Source organism: Homo sapiens, chromosome 10 (assembly GCF_000001405.40).
Source record: "Homo sapiens chromosome 10, GRCh38.p14 Primary Assembly".
In the NCBI taxonomy this organism is placed as follows: Eukaryota; Metazoa; Chordata; class Mammalia; order Primates; family Hominidae; genus Homo; species Homo sapiens.
Window position 1 is genome coordinate 34,419,845 of NC_000010.11, and position 13,194 is coordinate 34,433,038.

General features: G+C 37.8%; 1 protein-coding gene across 11 annotated transcripts in view, besides 1 other annotated feature; it reads right to left on the minus strand.

The window, feature by feature from the left end:
- The window catches only part of PARD3 (par-3 family cell polarity regulator), a 705,736-nt gene that overhangs the window by 310,284 nt on the left and 382,258 nt on the right, over window positions 1–13,194 (minus strand). The gene's annotated exons all lie outside the window — the stretch shown is intronic.
- Window positions 7,089–8,288: an enhancer, noted in NCBI's record as "CDK7 strongly-dependent group 2 enhancer chr10:34715861-34717060 (GRCh37/hg19 assembly coordinates)". NCBI's record gives its function as "activates an origin of replication core promoter dependent on BRD2, BRD4, P300/CBP, MED14 and CDK7 cofactors, with strong dependence on CDK7, by STARR-seq in HCT116 cells {active_cell/tissue: HCT116}" and the evidence as "EXISTENCE:reporter gene assay evidence [ECO:0000049][PMID:35650434]".

Below are 13,194 nucleotides of genomic sequence, written 5' to 3' on the forward strand. Positions count from 1 at the left end.
ATTAAAACATACAAATTACGTAAAACTTGTTCTTTTTACTTAACAACATGACTTGCAAATATTTCAATACCTAGGAATTTATTTTTACCTCAACTGTATTGACTGATTAATTGATTGATTGAGACAGAGTCTTGCTTAGCTCTGTCAGCCAGGCTGGAGTGCAATGGCACAATCTTGGCATACTGCAGCGTCTGCCTTCTGGGCTCAAGTGATTCTTCCACCTCAGCCTCCAGAGTAGCTAGTACTACAGATGCATGCCACCACACTCGTCTGATATTTTTAAAATTTTTGCAGAGATAAAGGCTCACTATATTGCCCAGGCTAAATCAATTTTTTAATAGCTGCAGAGTATCCCCACAGTGCAAATATAAAATCATTGATTTAGTCACTCCTCCATTAATGGACACTTAAGCCTGTTTCTAGCACCCTGTTTTTACTGCTACAATTAGCATCCTTATTCACGTGCAAATATTTCTGTAGATACGTGAAGAGGGATTTCTTTATTCCTACTTGTTTTAGTAAATTATTCACTCTGATCAACAACATTCAAACTTTTAACAGTCAGTTTATACATAGGAGACAGATGCCCAAGATAAGGGTGTATGATCTTAAAGAGGATGAAACAGTTAAACAAATAACTCAGAGATCATGATCCTGGAATTCAATGCGCCTCACTATGTTTGCATCCACACAAGTGTTCCTGCTTTTAAGTTTACTGAATGTGCAGCTTTATGGGCAACTATTTAATTGACTGATGACAGGAGTCCTCTCTCTTGATGGTCACTGCCTAATCAACTTTGTTACATATTTTACATGTACATGTACAATAATTCTTGTAGAAATTAATAAAAACACATCACTTGCATGCACAAATAGAAGACAAAGACTACGATGGCAATCCGTACTGTGTATTTATAACAAATATGTAAGCATTAAATCCCACAGTTCGGTTTCTTTTCTCAAATGGTGACATTCAAAAATATATGCATGTTAACATGTTCAGAACAAAATTTAATAATCTTCAATCTGTAATTTTAAACTGCAAAACAGGCCAGGAGTAGTGACTCATGTCTGTAATCCCAACACTTTGGGAGGCCAAGGTCGGGGGGATTGCTTGAGCCCAGGAGTTTGAGACCAGCCCAGGCAACATTGCAAGGCCTCATCTCTACAAATAAAAAAAATCAGCCAAGCATGGTGGTGTGCACCCATGGTTCCAGCTACTCAAGAGGCTGAGGTGGAACTGCTTGAGCCTGGGTGGTCAAGGCTGCAGTGAGCCATGATCATTCCACTGCACTCCAGCCTTGGCAACAAAGCAAGATCACATCTCAAAACAAAACAAAAATGAAATGCAAAGTATAATTTATCTTTCCAAAATGATCCCAAGGAAAACTGCAAACTGAACTAGCATTTACTAGTTATTAACATATATAAGTTATTGTACTACTTATTAATAATTATTATAACTAGTTATTTAAGTAATAAATTATAATATTTAAAGTAAATATAAAATATAAAAGTATTTAATTATAATTTGTAATTAGTTATATTAGTTATTAATAATTATACTAGTTATTACATTAATCTACATTAGATTATACATTTCTATGCATCATATACAACTAAAAATGAGCATCCATGTTTTTTTTTCATTCAACTTAAAAGCACAGGAATCACTACCGCTTGAAGTAAACTTTGGGTCCGGTCTGTTAAAGTGAAAATCTGCTAAAAGCCATGAACTCTTTTCCTAGCTGCAAGCTCATTAAACAATAAATCTTATTTGTGAATTCAGAGAGAATTCCCACCCTGAATCATTCACTTATTTATTCAATTATTGAATGCCTATGATATGCTAAGTGCCATCCCAGGTGCTTAAAACAGATGAGTGAACAAAACGGAAAAGATTTCTGCCCTTCTGAAACTCATATTTTAATAGGCAGGGAAAGAAAATACACAATAAATGTAAAGAATTGTATGTATGCTAGTGCTATTAAAAATGAGTAAGGTAAGGAGACCTGGGAATACAGAAATTTGGAGAGGTGGGGACGTTGCAGAGGCAGCAAGATAAAGTTGTAAACAGAGGTCAGAGAAGGTCTCAGTGAGGAGGTGAAATTCAAGTGAAGACTTGAAGGACCCAGGAGAATTAAGCAAGAAGATATCTGGGTAAAGCAATTTCCAGGCAGAGGACCAGACCAAGGGCCCTAAGGAAGGAACAGATTTCACAGACTTCCCACAGCACATCCAGGGACACCCACTCTCACCCCTAGGAATCTCAGTTTATGAATAATCCACCTTTGTCTATGCAGTTATAATTTAGTAGATAATATCATGGATTTTAAAGTTAGAAAGGCTGAGATTTAAAGCCAAGGTATATTTACTGTGTGACCTTTAGCAAATAATATGGCATTCATAACTCAGGTTCCTCAACCAGAAAACTGACGTAATAATGCTAACGTCTACCCCATAGGATCTGTTTAAGAATAACGTATATAAAAAACTTAGCAGGGTAAAATTCAAGACATGCTAGTTCTTGTCAGATATGAACCCAAAGCACAGGTAACAAAAGCAAAAATAGGCAAACAAGATTGCATCAAACTAAACTAAAAAGCTTCCGCATAGCCAAGGAAACAATCAACAGAGTAAAAACACAATGTATGGAATAGAAGAAATATTTGGAAATTATATATCTGGTAAGAGATTAATATCCAAAATAAATACAAAAAAAAAACTCAAGCAACTTAACAAAAAGAAAACAAATAACTCGATTTAAAAATGGGCAAATAATCTGAATAGACATTTCTCAAAAGAAGACATACAAGTAGCCAACAGGTATATGAAAAATGCTTAAGATTACTAATCATCAGGGAATTGCAAATTAAAACCAGAATGACATATCACCTTCCACCTGTTACAATGGCTACTATCAAAAAAATGAACGATAACGTACTAAAGAGGATGTGGACAAAGGGAACCCTTGCATTCTGTTGGTGTGAATATAAATTAGTACGGCTATTATGAAAAAGGGTATAGGGGTTCTTCAAAAAGTTAAAAATAGTGCTATTATATGACCTAGCAATCCCACCACTGGGCATGTATCCAAAGAAAATGCAATCAGTATGTTGAAGAGATAGCTGTACTCACATGTTTATTACAGCACTATTTACATTAGCGAAGACATGGAATCAACCTATCTTGTTGTTTATCAACAGTGTTTATCAATAGACCCTGAATAAGAAAAATGTGTAATACACAGATACATACATACACAAACACACACACACAACAAAATACTACTCTGCCTTTAAAAAGAAAGAAATCTATCACTGTGGCAACATGAATGATAGTGGAGGACATTATGTTAAGTGAAATAGGCCAGGGACAGAAAGACAAATACTGTATGATCTCACTTATTGTGGAATCTAAAAACACTGAACTCATCAAAGTAGAGAGTGGAATTGTGGTTACCTGGGGTTAGGGGGATGGTGGGTGGGGATGTGTTGGTAAAAGTATACAAAATTTCCATTAGGAGGAAAAAGTTCAAGAGATCTACTGTACAACATAGTCACTGTAGTTAATAACAATATACTGTATACTTGAAAACTGCTAAGAAAACATGTTTTAAGTGTTCTCACCACACAAAATAAACGAAGTACGTGAGGTATTACATGTCTTAATTAGCTCAATTTAGCCATTCCATAATGTATATATTTCAAATCAAGTCGTGCACAATATATACATTTTTGTCAATTAAAACATTTTATAAAATTTGAAAAGGAATAATTCTTGTAATTACTGTTATTAACCAAAAATTACCCTAAATACAGCACACTGATTCACATATACACAAATACATACACAACTGAATTTGGGCATGTTTAAAAAAAGCTAGTAATGTTATTACTATTATCAAAATTGTTTTTAAGAGAACCAGAGTTTCAAGTAGTTACGTCAAATTATGCAACAACTACCTAGGTTTTCCAGACCACCTTAAAATCATAATGGTGTTTTTCAACTCACAGAACCGTTATTAAAGTTCAAATATTAACAAACTGGCAAACTTATAATCACATGGGGAATTGAAAAGAAATCATGAAACTCTGGTCCAATTTTTATCTACTTATTCATAGGAAGTCCCCAAGCAATATTATTCCAGCAAAAAGCAACTCACCACAGATTGAAGATTAACCCTTAAATTCCCTTTTATTTTTAAGGTCATAAATATTTCTATATTTGCAAGTGTTGTTATTGTATATTAACATCTTACCTAATATAATATAATACAAACATAATAGAAAAGTCAAAGAGCAGCTAAAAATTGATGAACACTTCCATTCTTTTCTTACATACAGCAATGCATGCAGGGGATGAAAAATAAAATCACCAGTCATCATTTTCTCTAACAAACAAACATAAAGAGTTTCTTAGGATGAACAGAGATTTTAGTAGCAGAATCCCCTGGGATAAGAATCAAGACCAATGTTATTTAATACATTCATAATAATCTGTTGGAAGAAATAGGCAACAAGATGTATTCGAGTAACAGAAAACCGTTTAGGTAAGTAGAAACCAGAAAGTCTTTGAAAGACTCCAGAAGGAACTAATCAAATATGCAGCATGATGAAACTGGGCTTAGTAATTCAAGTAATCAAGATTCTAACTTTACATTTTTTATTTATTTATTTATTTATTTTGAGACAGAGTCTTGCTCTGTCACCCAGGCTGGAGTGCAATGGCATGGTCTCAGCTCACTGCAACCTCTGTCTCCCGGGTTCAAGAGATTCTCATTTCTCAGCCTCAGCAGAGGCTGGGACTACAGGCGCGCACCACCACGCCGGACTAATTTTTGTATTTTTAGTAGAGACGGGGTTTCGTCATGTTGCCCAGGCTGGTCTCAAACTCCTGACCTCAGGTGATCCACCCACCTCAGCCTCCTAAAGTGCTGGGATTACAGGGGTGAGCCACCATGCCTGGCCTAACTTTAAATTTTGAGCAAAAAGACCTATTACATGAGCAATGGCTCTCTCCTATCAGCAGGCAACTGGGCAAAAATCTCCTTTACTATTTAAAAAATTAAAACAAAGAAGATTCCTCTATTTCTCTTAGCATTCCACATTTTATACCTCCCATTTTCTTCACAGCCTCCTAGAAACCTGGGGCGTGTCCCTCCATTCTACTGACATTGCTGTGAGCCATTTTTAATGTCTCAATCATATGAAAATTACATCTTAATCATGACCAAGACCACTTTTTTTTTTATTCCACCTCCTATCTTCCAATTTTTTTCCATCTCTACTGGAATAGCCTGCATTTAGAATATTTTTGCTCACCCTCCTAAGCGTTCTCTCTTTTGTCTCTCTCTTCTCAAATCCATTTTCATTATACTTTAATGAATGAAACATTCATTTGGAAGCAATGTGACACTCTAGACCCCTTCTTTCACCAACATTGCCTCTTAACGTTATACATTTGGATACTTTCACAACCAGAACCCAATCTAAGTTCTATGCACCCCGGCCACTAACAAACAACTCTCAACACATCAGATTACTCACAAACGAAAATTCCACCAATTTGCTTTTCTTTTCTTTTTTGGAGATAGGGTCTCGCTCTGTGGCACAATCATAGCTCACTGCAGCCTCGAACTCCTGGGCTCAAGGGATCCTCTCACTTCAGCCTTCCTAGCAGCTGGGACTACAGGTGTGCACCACTATGTCTGGCTAACTTTTTTACTCTTTGTAGAGATGGGGGTCTCCCTAGGTTGCTGAGGCTTGTCTTGAACTCCTGGGCTCAAATGATCCTGCTGCCTTGGCCTCCCAAAGTGCTGGGATTACAGGCGCATGTCCCTGTGAAAATAGGTGGCGCTGGGCATGGGGACATGCTACTGTAATCCATTTTCACCTAAACTCTGACTTTTTGCCAAGGATTTTAATCCCCTTCTAGTTTAACTCTTACTTGTGCTTCAAAGCCTAAAGTCAATACTATTTATTCACCCAAAGCAGCTTTAGTGTTTTGGGCAGAGTACCCAAATTTCTATTCAACTGTCAAAGTCACTGAAACGTTCACAGATGCTTTACATCCACCTATATTACTTCATCATAAACACAACAATGATTCCAATCTTCTGTGGACCCAATAAACTATCAGGTATCTGAGGACAGAGTTGAATTTTTTTTAATCAATACTGAACACCAAAGCCTAGAGTCAATACTAAAGAAATATTTAACTGAGCAAAAACAAAATGGCAAATATAGTATTATATTTTCAACCGTACAAGTAATAGGTTTAAAAACCAGAATCAACTGGTTTTTAAATTGTATCTCTATCACTTACTAGGTAGGTAACATGCAAACAGTTTAGTAAAAGGATGAGTTTTCTTACCTTTAAATGGCAATAGTAATGCCTGCTTTACCTACAAGATCATGAACACTGATATTTAGCACAAACCTTGGTACATGGTGAACATTCAGCAAACTGAGTTTCCTCGTTACTCATAGCATTTTCAATATAAATGTTAAACAACTGAAAACACAGTAAACAGAATCCATCCACTTTTTGCATGTGCTTGGTGGCTTACTTCACGCTAAAATGTCCTTTTGGAGAATGGTATTTTTTTGTAGAAAAGAGATAAGGAAAAGAGAACCAAAATAGTTACAGTGCTATAGAATCCACTTCTATAATTAAAAAGTAAGATAGGCAACTTAAGAATGAGTAATTACATGATTATTTCAAAAAATTTACTTGTTAAAATATTTCTAAATAATAGTACCATATCGGCTTAAGTTTAAGACTAATATCTAGTGGCAAATATTTGTTCAAATGAATGTCCTTTTTCTTCACAAGTACCTCAGTGTTAAAAATGTAGGAGACCTTCAATAAGTTACAGTTAAAAGATGAGTCACAACCAGAAAAGGAAGTAGAAGAAGAGCAATCCCAGAATCCCAGGCGTGTGGATGTTACGGGAAGTCAGGGACCCCAAACGGAGGGACCAGCTGAAGCCATGGCAGAAGAACATAAATTGTGAAGATTTCATGGACATTTATTAGTTCCCCAAATTAATACTTTTATAATTTCTTACACCTGTCTTTACTGCAATCTCCGAACATAAATTGTGAAGATTTCATGGACATTTATCACTTCCCCAATCAATACTCTTGTGATTTCCTATGCCTGACTTTACTTTAATCTCTTAATCCTGTCATCTTTGTAAGCTGAGGATGTATGTCGCCTCAGGACCCTGTGATGATTGCGTTAACTGCACAAATTGATTGTAGAGCATGTGTGTTTGAACAATATGAAATCTGGGCACCTTAAGAACAGGATAACAGCGATTTTCAGGGAACAAGGGAGATAACCTGAAAGTCTGGCTGCCTGTGGGCCGGGCATATTTCTCTTATTACCGAAAACGGGTAAGAGAAATATTGCGGAATTCTTTCCCCAGTAAGGAATATTAATAATTAACAGCTCTGAGAAAAGAATGCATTCCCAGGCGGGGCCTCTCAAATGGCCACCCTGGGAGTGTCTGCCTTATGCAGACGTAGGTAGGGATGAAACACTCCCTAGTCTCCTGCAGTGCCCCTAGGCTTGCTAGGATTAGGAAATTCCAGCCTGGCGAATTCTAGTCAGACCGGTTCTCTGCTCTTGAACCCTGTTAAGATGTTTATCAATGACAATGCATGCACAGCGGGACATGGAAGTTCATTAGTGATTCTAGTTTCGCCCTGACCTTGTGACCTCGCCCTGACCTCCTGCCTTGCGATCTTTTGTTGCCCTTAAAGCATGTGATCTCTGTGACCCACACCCTATTCCTACACTCCCTCCCCTTTGAAAATTGCTAATAAAAACTTGCTGGCTTTACCGCTCAGGGGGCATCACGGAACCTGCCGACATGTGATGTCTCCCCCAGCTTTAAAATTTCTCTCTTTTGTACTCTTTCTCTTTATTTCTCAGACTGGCTGACACTTAGGGAAAATATAAAAGAAACTACGTTGAATTATCGGGGACAGGTTCCCCCGATATGTGGAGGCGATGAAGGGGTAGGGGGAAGTGGCAACTACATAGCACAGACACAAAGACACAAACACACCATATCACCATGTAGAGGAATGGGGGAGCTGGACAGTGAAGTGGAATATGTGATGGCAATGGGCAAATGCTACCTGAGAGAGAAGGCCGGTAGACCAAGGCTCTTGCAAGGTGAGCAACTCCCAAAAAACGACATCATCCCACAACAAACCTCCAGCACTTCCCCCATCTTCAAAATAGGACAACTAACTGAGGAAGAATCTCTCCCGATCAACAAACCTCCAGCATTTCCCCAATCTTCAAGATAGAACAACTAACTGAGGAAGAATCTCTCCCAATTCCCCTGACTCTAGTGATAATAAAAATTTTAAAGCAGTATGACTTATAGGATTCTTATGAATAAGCCTAGTCGTAAGAGACAATGCAAAGAGCCCAACATAACTAAAAGCTCTTCATCTACTCACAAATACCTACCAAAAATTGCTTTATTGCTAAAAATGTCTTAAGCCAGGTGTGGTGGTGTGTGCCTGCAGTTCCAGCTAGTTGGGAGGCTGAGGCAGCAAGATCATTTGAGCCCAGAAACTCAAACCCAGTCTGGGCCTCATAGTGAGATCCCATCTCTAAAAGAAAAAAGAGGCCTAAAATTATATAAATTGTCTTTATTTCAAACATTTAAATTTAGAAAACTCATTTATATTAGTGCACAAATTAATTCTTCAAAATACAGTTGAAAATGATGTAGCCCCCTTCACTGTTCAGAAAGAAGACGACAACAGCTGTGTTTTCTCTGGAGTAAAGAGGTTAGAGCCCTGCCAATGGGACAAAAGGGCCAGGAAGGATTATAAAGCCAGTGGTTTTGCTAAATCAAATCACTGGTGGGGTGAGAGACTGTAAGAACTATTTTTTTCCTACATTATAAACTAAAGGAAATCATGCAGAAACACTAACGCTAAATTTTATGTAAGCTTGCACAAACACACAAATATATACACACATCCAAAATAGAAGTACGAATCAGTCAAGGAAAATTTGTTAGCAATGCAAAATGGTGCACCAAAGAAAGAAAGAACTCTTGCTCAGACTGGAGGTAGTAAAGAAAAGAATAAACAATAAACAATTATTTTTAAAACCACAGTATGCATATGGAAATTTTTTAGAAGTCATAGTCAGAGTAGAACGCTTATAAATTCAGGTTGTAAATGAATTCACATTGAAAACATCATACAAATTAATTCCTTTTATATTTTAAAGCCAAAAGTAGGTACAGTGCAGAACTTGAAAAAGACTTAGTTTCTATGAGAAGAAAAAGAAAATAAAATCTCAGAAACTCGGAAAATGAATTTTTATATCCCATGTATGCTGGATAAAATATTCATGAAATGAAATGATATTTCATTGTATATATATATTATATAGTCATGAATGAAGGTTTTAGTGACAAAGTTACTTCTGTCTAGACACCTCTTTGAATTTAAGCAAAACTTAACCTAGATGAGAAGCATTAGAACCACAAGTAAATAAAAATCTTTTTTTTTTTTTTCCTTTTTTTGAGACAGGGTCTCACTGTGTCACCCAGGCTGGAGTACAAGTGGCATGATAATAGGTTACTACAGCCTCCACTTCCTGGGCTCAAGGGATAATCCTGCCTCAGCCTTCTGGGTAGCTAAGAATACAGCCCCACTCTAACTCAGTTTTGTTTTGTTTTGTTTTGTTTTGTTTTGTTTTGTTTTGTTTTGTTTTAAAACGGAGTCTTGCACTGTTGCCCGCGCTGGAGTGCAATGATGTGATCTCAGTTCACCACAACCTCCGCCTCCCGGGTTCAAGCAATTCTCCTGCCTCAGCCTCCCTAGTAGCTGGGATTACAGATGCCCATCAACATGCCCAGCTAATTTTTTGTATTTTTAGTAGAGACACGGTTTCACTATATTGGCCAGGTTGATCTCAAACTCCTGACCTTGTGATCCGCCCGCCTCGGCCTCCCAAAGTGCTGGGATTACAGGCGTGAGCCACTGCACCCAGCCTAACCCAGTTATTTTTAATTTTTTTTGTAGAGATGGATTCTCATTATGCTGCCCAGGCTGATCTCGAACTCCTAGGCCCAAGCAATCCTCCTGATTTGGTCTCCCAAAGTGCTAAGATTATAGGAATGAGTCACTGCACCTGGCTATAAAAATCTGTTTTATTTACAAAAAGCAGCTTAGCCATAATGCTAGTACTTCTTAGTAAGATATTAAGAAACACCTTATTGAAAGTGTTTACCATTTGAGTACAATCTGAGAATATGCCAACTGGCATGTTCTTGAATTATTGGCTATATGGTATTTTTTCTTTTGTTATCAAAGGATTTTAACCATATGTATGACTACATGAAAAACATAACCATCTAACACATATGAGAAATATAAAGATAATACTGATCATACACTCCAAATTTTTTCTACATTTTAAAAATCCTAACCTAGAATATCTTAGAATAGAATAGACTATTGTACGTAATTTACTTATATTATTCTAACAAGGCTTTCCATTTTAAGCAGCAAGTTGACTTCCTAATGATAGAATATGACTATCAAAAATTTGTAGCAATCACTAGGATTGGATAAGCAGCGAGAAGAAAAATAAATTTTATATTAGGCTTGCATGAACTAGCATACGGTAACTAAAATAACTAACACTGATTAATATTGAACCATATTATTTTACATTATCTTTACTGAAGTCCATGAAATCGGTTCTATCATCTACCATTTTGCAAATAAGAAAACTAAAATAGGAAACAATCAATATTGCCAAAGTCACACAACTAAAAGAAACAGAAATTTTAGCTTTTTCTGGGTCAAGACCATAAGCTGTCCGCTATGGTATTAAAGCTTCTGAACAACTGCATAAGGAAGAAAGAGGCAATTTCCCCAATTATCCAGATGAGGAAATGGAGGATCACAGGGGTCAGGCTAATGAATGCCTCAGAAAGTCAAATCTAGGCCATCTGATTGTGGGCATATTACACCACTTCCTCACAGGGTGTGACACAGAGGGAGCACCGCAACATCTTTTACTCCACAGAAATGAAGAGGAACATGTAGGTCATGTGATAAAAACTGATTGGCGTTTTCTAGACAGATCATTAACTGAAATAAATGATTTGGATTTCCACAAAATTCTACCACACACTTTCTTTTTTGGATATCAGTTTTCATTAAGTGACCATTTTAGCCCAGGTTGAGGCCTCTCAAGGAAACTACAGATTAAGTAGCTTACTCCAGATTGCAGTTAATAAGTATGATGCTGAGATCCATCTTGGCTCTGCACATGAATAACACCCCTGATGCTACCCCTTCATTTTCAAGCAGAGTGTCATCTTAATGTGAGCATCAATACACATGATCAAAGACAGAATTAAACAATGAATGACACAATGCTGATTCAGAAAGTAGGGGGAGTCTAGCATTGTAGGAATATCTGAAGTCAGAAGGAACAGAATTGATTTTAAAGGAAGGCACAGCAGTCCACCAGAGCACAAAATATGCATGAGATCATGGTAGGAGATGATGCCTAAAAAAGTTAAATAGAAATTTGTGCCGGGTGTGGTAGCTCAGGCTGGGTGCAAGGGGCTCACGCCTGTAATCCCAGCACTTTGGGAGGCCAAGGCGGGTGATCACCTGATGTCAGGAGTTCAAGACCAGTCTGGCCAACATGGTGAAACCCTGTCTCTTCTAAAAATACAAAATTAGCTAGGCATGGTGGTGTGTGCCTGTAATCCCAGCTACTTGGGAGGCTGAGGCAACAGAATTGCTTGAACCTGGGAGGCAGAAGTTGCAGTGAGCCAAGATCACACCACTGCACTCCAGCTTGGGTGACAGGAGCAAAACTCTGTCTCAAAAAAAAAAAAAAAAAAAAAAAAAAATGCCGGGTATGGTGGCTCATGCCTGTAATCCCAGCAGTTTGGGAGGCCGAGGCGGGTGGATCATTAGGTCAGAAGATCGAGACCATCCTGGCTAACACGGTGAAACCCCGTATCTACTAAAAAAATTAGCTGGGCGTGGTGGCGGGCACCTGTAGTCCCAGCTACTCGGGAGGCTGAGGCAGGAGAATGGCGTGAACCTGAGAGGCAGAGCTTGCAGTGAGCCGAGATCACGCCACTGCACTCTAGCCTGGGCTACAGAGTGAGACTCTGTCTCAAAAAAAAAAAAAAAAAAAAAAAAAAAAAAGAATGCAGAGAACCCAGAATATCAAGATAATAAATTTGATTTAACTTAAATCAAAATACAGTAGGGAGTGTTTTGCATGCTTTTAAACTTGCAGGTGAGGAAATCCAAGTGGCAATTTGGAAGACTAAGCAAATAGGAAAACGCAGAATTGATTTTAAAAACAAACAGATGGAGAGGGAGACAAATATTACATAGGTCTAGTCAAAAGGAATATGGCTGAAATGAGAACAGGTGCTGTGAAAATAGAAAGATATACACGTGCACATACACACACACACACACACACACACACACACACACACACAGAGGAGTAAAGGTATAATATATAGTACCTGGCACTAGGTAAGACATAAAAAATTAGAGAGAAGATAATAAGAGAGTAAGTTTGAAGCCTGGGAGACACAGAGCAAAATTAAAAGAAACAAGAAAAGAATGGCCAATCATAGAATTTTCTGGGCGTAGGAAACACCAGAAATTAACTACTCATGATTTCACAGGGGTAAGGTAATTCTGAACACATAGGTTGCTATATATGGCCCAGATCCATGGACAATGAGGTTCAGAACTGGCAGTTTCAAGTCACATTGCCCTTTTTATTAGGGACCACTTCCCATCTCAGGGAAAACATAAAGATGGTTTACCTTCACCCATGTTGAATCTGAGTGATCAAAAAGATATCTAGACAGTAGTGACCAGCCCATCCTTGCAGGTAAGCACAAGTCTGAAGGAACAGGAAGAGGAACTAAAGTAACATAAAAGTTCACCAAGGAAGAGCATGTAAAAACCCATCCAGAGAAATGACCAGCACTCAGGGAGGTAGAGCAAAAAGAAGAAATTTCTATAAATAATATGAATGAGCTTAGAAACAGAATGTCAGAGGAGTGAAGAGGAAAGCTTCTCCAGGGTGCCACAGATCCAAAGTGCTATTTCAGCCATTTACTAACAGCAGGGGGAAAACTGCACATGT